An 18963-nucleotide genomic window follows, 5' to 3' on the forward strand; every position below is an offset into this window, starting at 1 on the left:
CAAGTGATCCGCCCACCTCCGCCTCCCAAAGTGCTGGGATTACAGGAATGAGCCACTGCACCCAGCCAGGATTGTCTCATTTAATCTTAGTGTCTTCAGGGCCAGCAGAAGCCCCAACAAATGGTACATGCCCAGTAAATATCGTTTGCAGTTGTGAGCTGTAAATTGCTCCATTTCTTTTTATTGAAATTTATACAAAGTCCACTCTTTTTGGCATACAGTTCTATGAGTTTTGACAATTAAGATATAGAGTGTTCCATTGCCCCCCAAAATCCCTCTTCATAGCAGCCCTCCCCCCAAGTCCAGCCATTGGCAACTACTGCTTTGTTTTCTGTCTCCATCGTTTTACCTTTGACACAGTGTCATATAAGTAGAATCATACATGTTTGTCCTTTTAAATCTGACTTCTTTCACTTAGCATAATGCAGTAGAAACTCATCCATGTTGTAGGTATCATTATAGTTTGTTCATTTTTATTGCTGCGTAGTATTCCATCATATGGTTGTACAATCATTTATCCATTCAATAGCTGAAGAGCATTTGGGTGGTTTCCAGTTTTTGACAACTATGAATATAGCCACTGTAAACATTCATGTACAGGTTTTTGAAGGAATGTCACTTTTTATTTCTTTCTTTATTTTATTTTATCTTTTGAGAAAAGATTTCTCTCTGTTGCCCAGGCTGGAGTACGGTGGTACAAACACAGCTCACTGCAGCTTTGAACTCCTGGGCTCAAGCGATCCTCTTTCTTCAGTCTCCTGAGTAGCTGGGATCACAGGCATACACCACCATGCCTGGCCAATTTTTTCCTTTTTTGTAGAGACAGGGCCTCACCATATTGCTTAGGCTGGTCTTAAACTCCTAGGCTCAAGCAATCCTCCCACTTTGGCCTCCCAAAGTGCTTGGATTATAGGCATCAGCTACTGCACCCAGCCACTTTTTCTTTGAAGAGTGGAACTGCTGAATATTATAGTGAGTATGTTCAAATTTATTATAAGAAACTTCCACATTGTTTTCCAAAGTGTCTGTACCATTTTGCATTTCCACTAGCAGTGTATGAGAGTTCTAGTCCCTCTCCATCTTTGCCGAAACCATTTGTTGAAAACAACAACTGAATTTCCTTTGTGCCTTCGTTGAAAATCAATTGACCACCTATGTGCAGGTCTATTTCTGAATTCCCAGTTCTGTTCCATTGATATAGGTGTCTATTCTTTCACCACTGCCACACTGTCTTGATTACTGTAGCTTTCTAGTAAGTCTTCAGACCAGATAGTAGAGTCCTTCAACTTTGTTCTTCTTTATAAAAATTGCTTGGCTATTCTAGATTTTTTACCTTTCTATATAAATTTGGAATCAGTTTCTCTATGTCTTTAAAAGAAAATCCTACAGAGGTCTTGATTTGTATTGTATTGAATCTACTGTCACTTTGAGGAAGATTGACATAACAATATTGAATCTTCTTAGCTGTGAACATGGTATAGCTCTCAGTTTATTTGGGCCTATTTGATTTCTTTCATCAGTACTTTTTACTTTTCAGCATAGAGATTGTGCACATATTTTGTTAGGTTTGTATCTGAGTATTTCAGTTTCGGGTGCTGTTATAAATGGCATCATCTTTTAAATTTCTATTTCAGTTGTTGCATGTTACTCTACAGAAGTACAGTGGATTTTTGTGTGTTAATCATGTTTCCTGCAATCTATCTAAACTCAGTTATTATTTCTAGTAGCTATTTTTTTGCAGATTTCTTAGGATTTTTAATGTAGATAATCAAGATGTCTGTGAATAGAAACCATTTTCATTTTCTTTTTTTAGAGACGGGGGTCTCTCTTTGTTGCCAGGCTGCAATGCAGTGGTGCAATCATAGCTCACTGCCACCTCTAACTCTTGGGCTTGAGGGATCCTCCCACCTCAGCCTCCCAAGTAGCTAGAATTACAGGCATGCACCACGGTGCCTGACTAATTTTTAAATGTTTTTGTAGTGATGGGGTCTTGCCATCTTGCCCAGGTTGGTCTCAAACTCCTGGGCTGAAGTGATCCTCCTGCCTTGGCTTCCCAAAGTGCTGGGATTACAGTTATTTAGCCTCTGTGCCTGGCCTTATTTTATTTCTTCTTTATAATCAGTAGGCCTTTTCTCCCTTTTTCTTGTCTTATTGCACTGGCTAGGACGTCTAGTATAATGTCAAATAGGAGTGGTGAGAGTAGTCATCCTTGCCTTGTTCCCAATTTTAGAGGAAACGTATTAAGTCTCTCACCATAAACTATGTTAGTAGATGTAGGTTTTTTTGTAGATGCTCTTTATCAGGTTAAGAAAGTTTTCTAAGAGCGGTTTGCTTTTTTAAATCATGAACAGATGTTGAATTTTGTCAAGTGCCTTTCTGCATCTGTTGAGATAAGCACTGCTTTTGCTCAAACCCCAAAATTTAGATATTTGTTTTTATTTTCATTTCACTTCATAAATTTCCTTGTGATTTCTTCTTTGGCCCATTTAGAAATTGCTTAAGTTTCAAATATTTGCAAATTTTCCAGATAATTTTCTGTTATTCTAGTTTAATTCTGCTGTGACCAAAGAATGTACTTACTAAATTCTTTTAAATTTGGCCAGGTGTGGTGGCTCACGCCTGTAATCCCAGCACTTTACAAGGCTGAGGCAGGAGGATTGCTTGAGCCCAGGAGTTCAAAACCAGGCTGGGCAACATGGTGAGACCCTGTCTCAATAAAGAAAAATAAAAAAATTTAAAATAAAAAATATATAAATTATTTAAAATTTGTTAAGGTTGTTTTTCCCAGAAAATAGTTCTTGGGGAATGTTCCATGTACACTTGAAAAAAAATGCATAGTCAATTGTTTTGAGATGAAATATTCCATAGTGTCTATTAGGTCAAACTGATATCGTTGTTCAGGTCTTCTATATCCTTACTAATATTCTGTCTTCTTGTTCCATCAATTACTGAGGGAGGAATGTTGTGGATTTGTATATTTCTCCCTTTGATTCTATTACATTTTGCTTTGTGTATCTGGAAACACCATGATCAGATGCACACACATTTAGGGTTGTTATGTTTTCTTGGTAAATTGACACTTTCATTATTACTTATGTCCCTTTTTATCCCTGGTAACATTTGTTGTTCTGAAGTCTATTTTGTTTGGTATTAATATAGCCATTTCAGCTTTATTTTTATTATTGTTTGCATGGTATATCTTCATTCTTTTCATAAAGACATGCCTATCTATGTCTTTATATTTAAAGTAGGTTTCTTTATATTTAAAGTATGTTTGTGGACAGCATATAATTGGATCTTGTTTTTTAATCCAATCTAGCAACCTCTATCTTTTAATTGTTATGTAGAGATCATTTACATTTAGTGTAGTTATTGATATGGTTGTATTTAGGTCTACCACTTTTATTTTTCTGTTTGTACCCCTATTTTTTATTCCTTTGTTCCAACTTTCCTGTCTTCTTTTGGAATACTTGGATATTTTTAATATGTCATTAAAATTTTTTTTTACTATTGTGATTTATCTATATGTTCGGCTCTATTTTAGTTGTTGCTCTAGGGACCACAATATACATATATAACCCTTCACAATCTACTTAGGGTTAACACTGTACCATTTCACCATTTCAAATGTAATATAGAAGCCTTAAAAACAAATAGGTTTACCGGGTGCGGTGACTCACGCCTGTAATCCCAGCACTTTGGGAGGCTGAAGTAGGAGGATCATTTGAGGTCAGGAGCTTGAGACCAGCCTGGCCAACATGGTAAAACCCTGTCTCTACTAAAAATACAAAAATTAGCCGGCCATGGTGGCAGGCGCCTGTAATCCGAGCTACTCGGAAGGCTGAGACAGGAGAATCGCTTCAACGCGGGAGGCGGAGGTTGCAGTGAGCCGAGATCATGCCATTGCACTCCAGCCTGGGGAACAAGAGCTAGACTTTGTCTCAAAAGAAACAAAAACAAAAACAGAAAACAAATAGGTTTCTCTCCCTCCACTGACCTTTCCATTATAGTTGTTATATGTATTTCATCTATTTATCAACATTGGTAAACCTATCAGACAATGTTATAAATCTTTTTTCAACAGTAATAAGCCAGGTGCAGTAGCTCATGCCTGTATTCGCAGCACTTTGGGAAGCTGAGACAAGAGAATCGCTTGAGCTCAGGAGTTCAAGACCAGCTGGGCAACATAGCAAGGCCCTGTCTCTACAACAAAAATAAAGAAAATTTGTTGAGTGTGGTGGTGCATGCCAGTAGTTCCAGCTACACAAGAGGCTGAGGTGGGAGGATCACTTGAACCCAGGAGTTCAAGGTGGCAGTGAGCTATGATCACACCACTACACTCCAGCCTGTCCAGCCTGGATGACCAAGCGAGACCCTGTCAAAAAGCAAACAAACAAAAAATAAACAAACAAACAAAAAACGCCAATAATAAGTACTTTAAAGAACTTAAGAAGATTAGGGGATAAATGATAAATATAGCCTTTTAAATTTATCCAGATAATTACCATTTCTGTTGCTCTTAATTTCTAAACATCTGGGTTTATCTCTGGCATTGTTTTAAACTAAATAATTTTGTTTAGCTTTTTTTTTTTTTAAGAGTAAGTCTGCTGGTGACAGATTCTCTTGGTTTTCCTTCATCTGATAATCTATTTTGCACCCTTCTTGAAGGATGTTTTCACTGGATATAGATTTCTGGGTTGACAACTCTTTTAGTGCTGTAAAGATGTTGTACTCCTTTCTTCTGGCCTCCATGTCTTCTATTGAGAAATCCACGTTCTGATAGTCATCCTTTGTATGGAAGAAAATACAAGAATGTGTCCTTTTCTCTAGCTGCTTTCAAGATTTTTAAATTTGTCTTTGGTTTTCATAAGTTTGGATATTTTGTATGTTTATGTGTGATTTTCTTTGAGTTTAACCTGTTTGAGATTTGCACACCTTCTTGAATCTATAAATTTATGTCTTTTACCAAATTTGGGGTGTTAGTGGCCATTATTTTCTCAACTATTTTTTCTCCATCAGTCTCTTTCTCCTCTCTTCTGGGAGTCCAGTGACATGGAATCTTAGGCCTTGTGATATTGTTCCACAGGTCCCTGAGACTGTTAATTTCTTTCAACCTATTTTCTCTGTTTTTTCAGATAGAATAATTTCTATTGATCTATATTCAAGTTCACTGGCTCTTTCTTCTGTCAACCCCCCATTCTGCTATGAACTTATCCAATCAATTTTTAATTTCAGATATTGTATTTTTCAGTTCTAAAATTTCCATTTGGTTCTTTTTTAATTGTTTCTATATCTCTGTTGAGAACTATTTCAATCCATTTCAAGTTATAACAGCCACTTCAAAATCTTTTATAATTCCAACATCTAAGTCATCTTAGAGTTGGCACCTGTTGATTGTATTTTTCCTTGAGGATTGGTCACATTTTTATGGGTTGTCACCCCACTCCCCCATCTTTAGTTTTACTTTCCCTGGTTTCAGTTATTTGCACTCAATGACAGTTGAAAATATTAAATGGAAAATTCCAGAAATAAAAAATATTAAATGGAAAATTCCAGAAATAATTCATAAGTTTTAAATTGCACACCATTCTGAATAGTGTGATTAAATCTCACAGTGACCCATTCTCTCCTGCCTGGGACGTAAATCATCGCTTTGTCTGGTGTACCTCGGCTGTGTATGCTATCTACCCATTAGTCGCTTAGTAGCCATCTTGGTTATCAGATCAACTGTTGCAATATCACAGTGTTTGTGTTTAAGTAACTCTTATTTTACTTAACATTGGCCCCAAAGTGCAAAGTAGTGATGCTGGCATTTGTTATAATTGTTCTATTTTATTATTAGCTATTGTCGTTAATCTCTTACTGTACCTAATGTATAAATTAAGCTTTATAATAGGTATGTATGTATAGAACAAAACATAGTATATAAAAGGTTTGGTACTATTTGCAGTTTCAGGTGTCCAGTGGGGATCTTGGAGCTTATCCCCCATAGATAAGGGGGGACTACCATATTTGTATGTTGAGTAATTTCAGATTGTGTCCTGGACATTGTGAATGTTATATTGTATAGACTCTGGGTCCTGCTATAATCCTCTATAGAATGTTGATCGTGTTGTTATTGTTGTTTCAGGAGGCAATGAACCAACTTAAGTTCACATTCTAAGCTCTGTCTCACTTTCTGTGGATGGTGGTTCTAATCTTAGTGAAAAGCCACGAGAAAAGAGAAAAATGGGAAAATCATCCTATGGAGATGACTTCTCTAAATTTTAACTCACCTGTATCATTTGCCTTCTTTTGTCTAACTTTCACAGAGTTGTTATTTAATTGTGTTTTGTATTTTTGTCCAGCGTTTTTCGGTGTAATCAGTAGGAGAGATAAGCTATAATGAATTTACTCCATGTTGGCCAGAATTTGAACCTCCTGCTCAGTTTCTTTTGATTTGCTGGAGTTTAAAAAAGCTAGGAGAAATGAAGCTCCAAAGCACAGTGAAGACAGTGATAGTGGCATTAAGGTTGAAAGCTATGAGAAAACAGCAAATATCTCTCCCTTGTTTGGAATCCTGTTCAGATGTCAAAGCATTCCTTCCAAATTGTGGTAACCAGGCCAACATAACTACTTCTACTTTTTGGATGAGAACACTAAGGAAGAGCTTGCCATTTGCCTGTTTGATCTCAGATCAAATCCCTTGACCTTCTCTTGCTCTGTATTGTCAGGCCCTGACCATTGCAAACTACATTTTCATATTTCTTGAAAATCAGCTTTTAATTAGATTCTGCCAATAGGAGGCTCTGGCTTAAATTTGGAGGACAGGAGGAGAGAAGAAGCCAGAGCATGTCTCCAGTCTCTCTGCTTTGGGCAGCATTCCCAGCAAGGGTGATGTTTCCTCTGTGCTTCTGGCTTTCGTAGATACCCTCTTCCCCAATGTTCCTGCTAGGCTGCCCTGGTTCCTCAGCTCCTCTCCTTGTCCCTCCACCCTAGGGGTAGTAATGGTCTCCTATTGTCCCACATCTTTGGGTGGTCTCAAACCCCATTTGCACTTTCATCTCATCCAACATTTTAATAAACATTTCCCCAATTAAATTTCTTTCTTTTTTTTTTTATTTTAAAAAATTTGAGATGAAGTCTCGCTGTGTTGTCCAGGCTGGCCTTAAACTCCTGGGCTCAAGCAAGCCTCCCAAAGAGTGAGTCACTGCACCTGGCTTTTTTTTTTTTAAGTGACAGTTTCTCACTCTGCCACCCAGGCTGGAGTGCAATGGTATAATCATAGTTCACTGCAGCCTTGAACTCCTGGGTTCAAGGGATCCTCCTGCCTCAGCCTCCCAAGTAGTTGGGACTACAGGCATGCACTACTACTCTCAGTTGTTTTTTCTCTCTCTTTTTTTTTTTTTTTTTTTGAGAGATCGGGGGGTCTCCCTATGTTGTCCTAGCTGGTTTTGAACTCCTGGCCTCAAGAGATTCTCCTGCCTTAGCCTCCCAAAGTGCTGGGATTACAGGCATGAGCCACTGCATCTGGCCCAATTAAATTCCTGCTGCAGGGATAGACTGCTTATCTGGACTCAGACTGACACAGTCCATATGCGAGGGCAGCTGAACAAAAGCTGTAGCTCAAGTCTCCTGATTCAAATGTCAGTGTCTTCCCACTGCCCTACTCTGGCTGGAAGGGAACATCAGAGGAAAAGACTCCTTTCTGGGCAACCAGGAGGGCAATGTTCTGATCTACATTGCACAGTATTTTACAGGAATGTTAAAAAATATATTGTTCACCTGGAGTTCAAGACCAGCCTGGCCAACATGGCAAAACCCCATCTCTACAAAAAATACAAAAATGAGATGAACGTGTTGGCACATGCTTGTAATCCCAGCTACTAGGGAGGCTGAGACATGAGAATCGCTTAAACCCGGGAGGCGGAGGTTGCAGTGAGCCGAGATCGCGCCACTGCTCTCCAGCCTGGGTGACAGAGCAAAATTCTATCTCAAAAAATATATATATAGACCGGGCACGGTGGCTCACGCCTGTAATCCCAGCACTTTGGGAAGCCGAGGCGGGCGGATCACGAAGTCCGGAGATCAAAACCATCCTGGCTAACACGGTGAAACCCTGTCCCTACTAAAAATACAAAAAATTAGCTGGGTGTGGTGGCGGGCGCCTGTAGTCCCAGCTACTCAGGAGGCTGAGGCAGGAGAATGGTGTGAACCCGGGAGGTGGAGCTTGCAGTGAGCCGAGATCGCGCCGCTGCACTCCAACCTGGGCAACAGAGCCAGACGCTGTCTCAAAAAATAAATAAATAAATAAATAAATAAATAAATAAATAAATAATATATATATATATATTTCATATATAATTAATTTTCTAGGAAAGTCATCTTATATGCATGGGCGTCTTCCTTTTGTGTTAATACAGTACATTATCTATTAGAACATCGACTCTTCCTCACTGATATCCTTACTCCTCCCATATGTTCTGTTAGACCAGGTGGCACATAAGTCTTTGAAAACTGAAGTGACTTCAGGAAGACCCAGCAGGGCAGGAGATAAGAAGTGAACAAGAACCAGGGCTGGGGCTGGGGTGAGGACTCCCACTGATGTGGTCAGTGGTGCCAAAGATAGAAGATAGGATGGCTTCACCCCAGGAGCAAACCATGGGTCACAAAATCCTGTGGTATCTGAGAGGGATGAGAGGTATGCCAGCTTCCCAAGGCCATAAGGCTGAAAAGTGGCAGAAGAGGGACAGGAGAAAAGTTTTTGGCAGTCTCCAGAAGTTGGTACAAGGACCAGGCTGGAGCTGGGGCCACAGACAAGGGAAGAGAGCACCTCACCCAGTCATGAGCCCCATCTGCCAGTCCAGGGCAGCAGGGAGGCATTTCTTGGTCTTTGACCTGCCATGGGCTTATGAGACAGAAATGAAAGCACAGCCAGCATCCTCTGCCACAAAAGACCTTTAATGGCCTCCTATTTATTGTTCTTTTGTTCATTTGTTAGAGTTGAATGAACTATAATAACTTGTCTGACATAATAAGAATGCCACAGGTATAACAGATAAACCTGGCAGGTGGTCCAGGAATGAGAGTGTCACAAAATAATCACTCAACACAAGGGCCACAGACCTGGAGATTCTTCCCAGCCATCCCTCACTCCTGCCCCAGGACACAACCCATGCAGGCCCCCATTCCATAGGAAGAGGCAGGTCCCACAGTGTCTGTGGCTAGACCTTAACACTGAGCAGAGATGCCCGGGAAGATGGCACTTCCTATGCTCGTTCCCAAGTGCTCTGCTCATCTGCCATGCAGGTCAGGACCATACCCCGAGTTTGTGAGGCACCCACCTCTCATACTCACCACCTCATATGACCACCTATCATACCCACCTCTCCTATGACCCTTGCAATTGTCCCAGTGAGGTGGGAAGAGCCTGGACTAGCCCCATTTTGCACACAGGGAAACTAAGGACACACTCGGACCGAATGTAATACACCCGTGTCATGCGCTTGCTGTGCCCTGAGCTTCACATTTTCACCTAGAATTCCCTGGGGGGTGGGAGTGGGGGACAGGGCAGGCAGGGTTTTGTGCCAAGGGCTGGTCCAGTTCTCACTAAAGTGTCCAGGATTCCTGGGGGAATCCTGCCCTCAAAGGAGGGACTTTTGTCATAAAATCCTCCCTGAGTCTGTCTTTTATGTGAGCCAAGATTTCCATCCATCCGGCGCTGTGTAAAGATGAATTTAACCCTAGCCTCTCTCCTATCACACTGCTTCTCCTGCTGTGTCCCTTGGGCCTAGGCCAGGAAAGTGGGGTGCCAGATAGGGGTGCAGACACAAGTCCTCAGTGGGGGATTGAGCCTGTTTCCTTGCTCCAGAGCTCCCCATGCTTCATGGGCCAATATCAGGGTCACGACCCATCCCCACTGAGCACCAGGTCCCTGTCCAAATCAAACCTTGGCCAGAGCTTCAGGGTGGGTTGGCTAGAAAAACCATCAACTATGTACGTGTGTGTGTGTGTGTGTGTGTGTGTGTGTGTGTGTGTGTATAAATGCTTGTGCCTGGGTCTGTGACCCAAGTTCCAACACAAAGACACTTTGTACTGGAACGCTGGAGCCATTCCAACATGAACAGCAAGAATAGAACCTGTGCTGGCTGGTCTAAGATCAAACCTCGAGATGGTGGTTTGAAGTTCTTCTTCAAAGAAAGCTTGAAAATGAAATCTCAGTAGGCAAGACAGATAAAAGCAGAGTTATTCTGGTGGCGGCGGAAATGGGAGGAGGGCTGGAAACCTATCCTTTGCCTCCACTCCCATCTTCCCACTTTAGCATCCCCTGACAAAGCTCTGTGGAATATCAGGGGTTCCGCAGCACCTGGTTTGAAAACCACTGTGTCAGTGTCTACAAACCATAGGCCCCACGGACCTGTGCTTTGACTTCCCTTTTGGGGTGACGAGTTGGAGTGTGATGGGGGGAGGATGTTTCCCCTTCAACAGGGCGTGTCTTTGAAGCCGCTGTGCAGTGACCCTGTGGGGAAGTGGTAGAGGTGGGGTCCTGCCACTTTCGTCCAGGAGGAATGGCAGAAGAGATGGAGCTGCCTGGGCCAGGAGGAAACACCAAGCCCAGTGCAGGCCGTATAGATGAGGGTTCAGGAGTGTTTTGGTCCTTTTGAGTTTAAAAAATTATAGATATCAGAACAGGCATAGGCCTATGTCCATGAGACCCTATAAGAGTGTAAGACTGGGACCTAACCCCTTCCTCCTGGATGGGTGGAGAGCAACCAGTCCCCAGTGACAGGCAGGAGAGAAGCTGCCGCTCTGGGATGCTGACGCCACTGCATCCGCTGTGGCTCGGCTCTCAGGACAAAAGGCTTGGGTTTTTCCTGGGCCCGAAGCCCTCCCAATGTCACTGAGAAGCTGTGGTGGCTCCAGTTGCTCCTGGAAGAGGCCTTACACTTTGAAGGGAAGGAACAGACAATTTCTATTTCTCCTTGCCCTTAGATTTCTGCGGATGGGTGGTTTCAGCTCCCTGAGCCTGGGGGCTGGTGGCTCTCTTTAACCTGGGTCAGAGCCAAGGCCCCTTGGCCTCTGTGGGGTCTGAGAGATGGGAGATGTGACACCAGGCCTAGGAGGGTCCAAGATGTCCCCCTCCACCAATCACTGACAATATCCAGGTCTTCCCTCTGTGTCCTGGTTGCTGGGACCACTATTTTTGGGCATGATATTCCTGAATTGTATCTAAATTTCCCTCTCAGCTGGGTCATCAAAGCCAAATTGGCTGTATCTCATTCTGGTTGACATCTGCCTAAGTGAGAAGCAGGGCAAGCGATGAAGACTGGTGGGGAGGGCTCCTCCTGCAGCAAACTTTCTGTGTGACCTTGGGCCATCCCTGCAGTGGCAGGGCCACACACATCCAGCCATTTTCAACTTACAGAGCCCTGACCGCTGACTTTCATCTCATCTGGGCCTCATAACAATTCCTGCGTCAGGCAGGGAAGGGATTACAATCCCATTTTACAGTTAGGGAAATTGAGCCCCAGAGGTTGAGTAGCTTGCCCAAGCCCCCCAGGTGGTTGGTGACAGGCAGGACTGAGAGGCGGCATTGGGGACTTCCAGGACAGAGTTCCTTTCACTGCACCATGTAGGAACCAGCTTGTCAGGAACTCTCCCACAGAACCAACAGCCAGGTGAACCCACTCTAGCAGGTCTGAGCTTTGAGGCTGAGGAGAGGTGCAGCCAAATAACTCAGTCCTTATCTTCATGGGGACTGAACTCTTCCCCTGGGTGGAATGCTGAGGAGGTCCCGCTGGCTCTCTGCTCGGTGGGTTTTCACCGGGGCATGCTTTTCCTTCCTGCCCGGACCGGTGTCCACACGCCACCCACAGGGCACACTGCAAAGTCCCAGTGACGGATGGCTTGGCCAGTGCAGGCCCCAAACACTTGGCAGAGAAACCGCCAGTACTGTGGGATGGTGCCTGGGGCCTAGTGAGGCTCCCCCACCCCTAGTTTCACTTCAAGGTATCACCTGGGCAGGCTGACTCCAGAAAGGAAAGGGGCCCTGCAGAGAAGCACTGGCTCGGCCATGTTTGGGGGCTGGGAGGTGGTGCCTGGAGTTGACCAGAAGCTTGGAAACATGACCTGCGGCTTCCTCTCCAGGAAGAGGCTGAAGGAAACACTTTGGCCTGTGTGTCCCTCGAGGCTGCAGCGTATGGCCGTGCAGCAGGGCACCTCTGGCCAAGGGGCAAGGGGTGCTAAAATCCAACCTGTGTGTCACTCCCAAAGCTGTGCGTTCTAGTGTAGGTCTGAATCCACCTGGAAAGGGCACCGTCTTCTAATTCACATCAAGGCACCATAGGGACCAGCAGCCACCAGGAGCCCTGAAGGCAACTGCCCTCTATTACTTATCCCTACAACGTTTCCCTGACCATGGGCTTCCTGAGGACAGGGGCTGGGACTGACCCATCTCTGTGGCTCCAGTACTTGGCATAGAGCTGAGTCATCAGCAAAGGATGGTAGGCTGAATTCAACTAAATTTGGCCATTGCCTTGTGCAGTCCTGGCTCCAGGAGAAAAAAAAAAAAAAAAGATAGTGCTCTGATCCTTCCCTGCAGCTGGAGAAATTTGCTAAATAACACTGGGCTAAACCCAAAAGGGTGAGCGTGATGTTGAGGTGCAGGAGGCTCGGGAAACCAGCCTGACAAACGTTTTCCATGCATGAGTTAGGGATAGGGGAAGAAGTCTGCAGGAAAGAGGTCATCCCAAACACTAAAGGATCTTGTGTCAGCCCCAAAGGTTTCAGAAGACACTGGAGGGCATATGTTTGCCATGCATTGCTCCAGCATTTCATCAGCTCTGCGCCTGCCCAGATGAGGTGCAGCCTGCCCAGCAAGCTCTAGGAGGGGCTGGATGCCTGGGGGACCTGCAACTAGGCCCTCAAGACTGGACAGGGTAGTACGACAGCCCCCAGCTGACTTGGTTCTGGTCTGGGGAGGGGTCCCTTGGGTTGAGTGGTCATGAGACTCAGAAGTCGCGCTGCCAGGCTTGTGAAACAGGTGATTTCACCACAGGAAATAAGTCACACTGCCTGCCCCAGGAGGTGCTGGACTGGAAAGGATTGAGATGCCACTTGTATAAGATTTTTTGTCTCCCTTTTCAGACAAGTATGGGAGAGAGATGGAAGGGAGCAGAAACTGAGGAGAGAGCCCTTGTCCTGCTAATCAATATATTTGCCTGGGTAAACCTCAGGGTGTCTGTGCCCACAGGGGGCTGTGAGGTACTGCAAGCCCTATCATAAGCCCCTCAGCCAAGCCTCAGCAAAGATATGCTCTGTCCCTCCTTGGGCAACTCATGCTACCTATGGCCACAGCCTGACATCAATCCCTTCCCAGTCTTGGGCACAGGGTGGGGTTGAGGGCAGTTGGTGCTCCATAGGGCCCTGCCACCTCTGAGGTCCAATAAATCCCCTCTGGAGGCAGAGAGACCAGTCAGCAGCTCTGGCTCTACCCACCAGACCAGGAGCTCTAATGTTCACAAATTCTTGGTGGCCAGAGCTAGGAAGGCCCATTGTGATCATCTGGTCAAACTCCTTGCTTTCCCAAGTGAGAAACTGAGGCCCAGAGTGGGGAAGGAACTTGCCCAAAGTCACACAGTAAGTTATTCTCAAAGGCCAGGCAAAGAGGATAACTCCTAACACTTTCTATCTCATCTCCCATCTGGCTTCTTGCCCCAGGAACTGCCCCAGGTCTCAATCAACCCAACACCAGCTAATGCGTACTGGGTACCCATGACACTGGGAGCTATTGGAGGTCATCAACTCACCAAGAAAAGAAGGGGCTTATTTGCTACCCAGCAGCCTCCTTCCCTTCGGGTGAGGATATCTCAGTGGATGCTGCCACCTTCTGAGATAGGACCCCCTTTGACTGTGGCATGGTGGCCTCAGGCACTCTCTCCCAGTCCATAGGGTCAGTCCAGCCCTGGAGAATGGCAGGGGGAAGCAGGAGGATACTAGTGGCCTCGGCCCCCGCTGGACACCCATCCTCACTTCCTGCATGACCATGTGAAGTCCACAAGGAAGGGACATAAGGCAGACTCTCCTCTCCCCGCCCCCTGCCCCCATCTCTGAGCGCCCCCCTTCGGGAACCCTCCTCAGGAGCTTCAGCTCACTCTGCTGGGGGCTGGTGCTTGCTGAAGACCCCCTCCCTCCCTCCCTCTGCTTTTCTCTCTGTGCATATCTCTAGACAGGGCCATGCACTTGAAATACAAGGTAGCTAAGATGTCACAGCCTGACAGTACTGAAATATACTTGGGTGAGTCCACACAGCTTGCCTCAGTCTAGGTAACTGCTGGTAAGAAAGTCAGTCCAGTTGCTTTTCTCTACTCCTGGGGTCTACGAACTTTCACCAACATCACTATCAGACACAGAGGGACATCAGGTGGGGAGGAGGGTGAAGGCAGAAGGTCTTTGGTGGGTCAGAACTTCAAAAAGGCATTGAGAATCTGTCCACAGTTCTGCCCCTCCCAGCCAGAAGGAGGTGGCCTTCAACGCGGTCATCTTTTAGCTGCCAGAACTTTGTTAACCACCTGGGACCGTGGACATCTTCTCTCGTGTCTTGAGCCCTCATCCCCACCCCTCCAAGCCCTCATGCCCACCACACCGTGTCCCACATTCCCCATCCTCCCCTGTCTGCTCCCCATCTCAAGTCCAATTCCAAGGCCAGAGCCCTGGCAGCTTTTCTGGGAGACAGCATGAAAAGGAGGGGAGTGGAGATGGCAGAGATGGGGTGGAGCCAGTGCGCTGTGGTCCTGTTGGCGTGGTGATGTGGGGCCAATCCTGAGGCCAGAGGTTCATCACCGTGATCTGGAAGCCCACGGGGCCCCCTGGTAGAAACTGGAAGAACAAAGGGGAAAAGAAACCAGAACAGGAAGAAGACGAGTAAGCATCCGAGTGCACGAGAGTGGAGCCGGAGCCACGTGGAGGCAGGGCCGGCCCGTCTATCTGTTGTTGAGCTGTGGAGAGCCGGTACCATCCTCCTCTTCCTCCTTGTCATCCTTCATGCCTTTCAGTCTCTGGCGAGCAAAGTCCTCAAATACAATGTCGTCATCACTGGTGGGAGAGACAAGGAAAATGTGGTGTGTTTGCAGGGGCAGGGAGAGTAGGCTTATCCAGAGGCCCGGCCAGATGTGACTCAGAGTATGGCTCTGGGGCCGGGGAGAACCACCCTCTCTGAGGTCTCTGGCCTCTGGGGCTGACCATGAGCAGAAAGGCCTGTCTGGCTGGCACATGTGGATGCCACCTGTGGCAGTGGGGACAGTCACATCAGGACTCGGGCCAGTCATGAAAGGGGCAGAGAGGGGCATGAATTTGACTCTTGTGCCTGAGGGCTAGAAAAGTAACCTGGTTCTTTAGGAGGTGGGGGGAGCAGTGTGGCTCTGTAGCCAGAGGAAGGACTTATTCCCACTGTGAGAGGCCAGGCCACCAGTAGTTTCACAGCATGTTCTGAATCCCCCAAGAATAGGCCCGGCAAACCCCACCCCACCACCCAGAAAACTACCCTTAGGAAGCATTCCCGTTTCTGGACAGCAAGGAGTAGTTTGGCTTAATGAAAGAGAAGACCATGAAGAACCTTTCTCCCAGAAGTGTCAGCTCAGATTCTACCTTGGGGGATCCCAGACAGAAGAAGGCTGGGGTAGGAGGATGTGAATCTAAATAGGGGGGCAGAGGACCTGTTCGTGAGGAAAGGGGAGGCTTGAGTGGGGTTTCAGGACTAGACTGCCTTTAAGAACAGCGAGTTCCCTTCTACCATGAAACATGTCCATTTAGGACCATGCAGGTGTCCACCTGGGTCCCCTGCCCAACAGGGTTCAGCCAGTGCATGGGGCATCCTCATGGGGTGACCTGAGACCCCCACACCCCAGATTTCTCCTGGGGGACAAGGGAAGATTGGCTTTGGAGCTGGAGCAAGAAAGCCACTTGGACCTGGAGGCGGTCCGCGCAGTCGGCCCAGGTCCTCCCCCTCTGGCCACTGTCCGGTGACTCGATGGCCTTTGACTGCAGGGAAATCCACATCGGTTGGTCCTCAGGAGTCAGAAGCAACAAGATCCCCAGTCCCCTGCCCACCCCACAGCCTGATTCCACTGGTTGGCGTGGGCAGGACAGGAGAGCCGAGCCCAGGGCCATGGACCAGCCCTGTGTGAGCCGAGCAGGCGCTGTGGATGGACGAACGGACTGACGGACGGACGTGCAAGGACGAGGGAGGAAGACAGACCCCACCAAGGCAGGAGGAAGAGGAACAGGCACGGAGGGTCCTTCAAGTCACATGCAGGCAAGCGGGTTGCTGAAGAGGCGAGCAGAGGTGGCTCTCAGCAGACGGGGTTAGACCAGCGGCTCCTCAGGAGTTAATAAGCATATATGCAAATGACCCCCTCCACCCCGCCCACCCGCGGCCCACCCCCGGATGTCTGCAGGCAGGGTTCAGCTTACTTTGTGTCAAGTTCTATGAGATTGGTATCTACTGGCGTCTCGTTCTCTGGAACTAAACACAGGGTGGGTGGGCAGGGTGTCCAGGGATTAGTGAGTGGATGAGCACGGGGCGAGTAAGCACAGGCCCCCACCCTGGGACAACCAGACTAACATGAGAAGGGCAAAGGATAAAGGGGAATGGAGATGGGGGAGGACTCATTCCTGGTACTGAAACACCCCAAATCATCTGAAAGGCAGGGAGGATGGCACCAGGAGGGCCCCGGATCCCCACTGCAGCCCCAGAAGAACAGAAAATCCTCTAAACTTCTGTTTCTTTTGACAGGTCTCCAACATGAATTACATTAATTCCTTGCATGCATGCCATTCACCAATTCTAAGACAATCTTTTTTATATTTTCCTTCACATTTTAACATCTCCAAATTTGGAGTGTGTCTTACCGTCGATGGCACTGCACAGTTTAACCATGGAAGTTTTTTCCTAATTGTACCTACTATTATGTTGTCTCTCTCCACTGAAAGTCTCAGATTCAATGAAATATGACCAATCTGCTATCACTTGAAAAACAGGCCAGGCCAGGCATGGTAGCTCATGCCTGTAATCCCAGCACTTTGGGAGGTTGAGGCGGGAAGATCACCTGAGGTCAGGAGTTTGAGACCAGCCTGGCCAACATGGTGAAACCCCGTCTCTACTAAAAATACAAAAATCAGCCAGGTGTGGCGGCAGCCGCCTGTAATCTCAGCTACTCGGGAGGCTGAGGCAGGAGAATCTCTTGAGCCTGGGAGGCGGAGGTTGCAGTGAGCTAAGATCACGTCACTGCACTCCAGCCTGGGCAACAGAGTGAGACTGTGTCTCAAAACCAAAAAAAAAAAAAAAAAAAAAAAAAAGAAGAAGAAAAACATGACAATAGCGTGTCCAACGGTCATCTTATCCAAGCAGCCCCTTCCCCTACTTCCAAACGGGATCCAGCCCATGCCTGGGTGCAAGATAGAGGCTCAAAGCATGGCCAATGAGTTCCCTTCTCCACTCCTGGCCTCCCTCTCCCATGGGGAACAGGAGCCACGCCTCACTGTCTCCTGGTGGGGTCAGAAGCAAATCGAGTTCTGGACCCCACAAAAGATCTGGGGACCCGAGAAAAGGGTGACTGGGCTGAGGGCGAACCCGGGGCGGGGTGGGTTACAGGGTCACGTGGCAGCTGCTAGAGAACCCCTACCCCAGAGACCTACAGATTCTGCTCACCTTCCCGATGCGGGGGTTCCTCTTTGGGCTTGGGGTGCATTAGGGTGAAGGGCAGTTCCACGGCCACGTCGCTGAAACAGAGACCCAGACCCAGTGAGCCTTGAGCGGACTCACAGGCTGTGAGACTTGATGTCGATGCCCTGTCAGTCCGAGGACTGCAGAGGGTTTTGCCGTCAGAGGAGGTAGATCCAAAAGATGCCCTCCAGCCCCAGTTCTGCCACTCGGAGCCTCGGTCTGCCTGGGAGCTGGACGAGGAGACTTCCTCTGGTCCCAAAAAGAAATGGAAGCCTCCTCTTTCCTGAGAAGGCTCTCTGGGTTCCCACGGGCTGGGAAGAGGCCCAGGGGTGGGAAAGGATTGCCCGGGGCAGCATGCACCGTGGTCACTGCGGGGCTCCAGAGGTGCCCTGGGACCCCCCCCCACCTCAAATCGCCACAGCCACCCTCGCCTCCCCTGACACTGCCCTTCCCAACTTCCAGGTCGGAGCTCCTCCCACCCTCACGCCATCCCATCTCCCAACACCTCCAGGGTGCTCTTGTAAAAGTGCTCAGGTGACCCTAGCACCCCTGCAATCTGGATGAAGCACTGTTGAGGTCAGTTTAGTCAGGTTTAGGATGGCCCCAGGGCCCAAGGCTGATTACACTGTGGGGATGCAGGGGAAAGCGGCCGGGAAGACCCAGCCACCAGCCAGTGCTTCTGATGGGGCTTTCTCTGTACTTGGCCCTGATGGACAGAATAAGAGAAGGTATTCACATGGTACTGACCCTGTGCCAAGGATTACTGTAAGCCCCTTCCATAGAGTAACTCATTTAATCCTCGCAACAACCATATTATTATCCCCAATGTACAGACTGGGACATTGAGGCATGAGGAGATTAAAATATCTTGCCCAAGGCCACACAGCTATTAATGGTTATTATTAGATTCTGGCTCCATAACCACACCCTTGATCACTGTGTGACAGTAGCAGAATTGAGACTAACAAAAGCAACCCTGAAGGCTCCTCTCGGCTTGGGGTGACATCACCCTAGGAGACCACCCAACTGCGAGTGCCTACAGGCACAAGCCACATCCCACTGATCTTGTTGTCCAGAGCCCAGTTGGGAAAGAGGAAGGGACAGGGAATGGAGTGGTCAGAGGCACAAGCCGTGCAATTAGAAAGGTCTGTTCCACCAGCCTCGCCACCCGCTGGTGCAGCACTTTCTAGCTTTGAGTCTCACTGAGCTCAACTTGGAACAAAGCCTGTCTTCTAGAACCACGGGAACTTCTGGGAGATGAG

The 18963-nt window shown here is 47.2% G+C and overlaps 1 protein-coding gene across 9 annotated transcripts in view, besides 5 other annotated features; it reads right to left on the minus strand.

The window, feature by feature from the left end:
- ARRB1 (arrestin beta 1) overlaps positions 8920-18963 on the minus strand; it is a 91540-nt gene continuing 81496 nt past the window's right edge. For 5 of the 9 annotated variants that reach the window (XM_017017754.3, XM_017017752.3, XM_017017751.1 and 2 more), the window contains 4 exons: positions 17687-17757; positions 16450-16501; positions 15946-16017; positions 8920-15072 (listed from right to left, as the gene is read on the minus strand). In XM_017017754.3, coding sequence (XP_016873243.1) covers positions 14961-15072; positions 15946-16017; positions 16450-16501; positions 17687-17757 — 307 coding nt within the window. In that variant the 3' untranslated portion in view covers positions 8920-14960. The remainder of the gene's footprint in view (positions 15073-15945; positions 16018-16449; positions 16502-17686; positions 17758-18963) is intronic. The other 4 variants (NM_020251.4, NM_004041.5, XM_011545035.2 and 1 more) reach the window with 1 other exon arrangement.
- Positions 10657-11156: an enhancer, noted in NCBI's record as "H3K4me1 hESC enhancer chr11:74972903-74973402 (GRCh37/hg19 assembly coordinates)". NCBI's record gives its function as "activates a minimal SCP1, AML or CMV promoter by ChIP-STARR-seq in naive H9 embryonic stem cells {active_cell/tissue: H9 hESC(naive)}" and the evidence as "EXISTENCE:reporter gene assay evidence [ECO:0000049][PMID:30033119]".
- Positions 11515-12446: an enhancer, noted in NCBI's record as "H3K27ac-H3K4me1 hESC enhancer chr11:74973761-74974692 (GRCh37/hg19 assembly coordinates)". NCBI's record gives its function as "activates a minimal SCP1, AML or CMV promoter by ChIP-STARR-seq in primed H9 embryonic stem cells {active_cell/tissue: H9 hESC(primed)}" and the evidence as "EXISTENCE:reporter gene assay evidence [ECO:0000049][PMID:30033119]".
- Positions 14481-14982: an enhancer, noted in NCBI's record as "H3K4me1 hESC enhancer chr11:74976727-74977228 (GRCh37/hg19 assembly coordinates)". NCBI's record gives its function as "activates a minimal SCP1, AML or CMV promoter by ChIP-STARR-seq in primed H9 embryonic stem cells {active_cell/tissue: H9 hESC(primed)}" and the evidence as "EXISTENCE:reporter gene assay evidence [ECO:0000049][PMID:30033119]".
- Positions 14803-14892: a silencer, noted in NCBI's record as "silent region_3761". NCBI's record gives its function as "represses an Ori minimal core promoter by ATAC-STARR-seq in GM12878 lymphoblastoid cells {active_cell/tissue: GM12878}" and the evidence as "EXISTENCE:reporter gene assay evidence [ECO:0000049][PMID:35858748]".
- Positions 14983-15482: an enhancer, noted in NCBI's record as "H3K4me1 hESC enhancer chr11:74977229-74977728 (GRCh37/hg19 assembly coordinates)". NCBI's record gives its function as "activates a minimal SCP1, AML or CMV promoter by ChIP-STARR-seq in primed H9 embryonic stem cells {active_cell/tissue: H9 hESC(primed)}" and the evidence as "EXISTENCE:reporter gene assay evidence [ECO:0000049][PMID:30033119]".

This window comes from Homo sapiens, chromosome 11 (genome assembly GCF_000001405.40).
Source record: "Homo sapiens chromosome 11, GRCh38.p14 Primary Assembly".
Taxonomy (NCBI): Eukaryota; Metazoa; Chordata; class Mammalia; order Primates; family Hominidae; genus Homo; species Homo sapiens.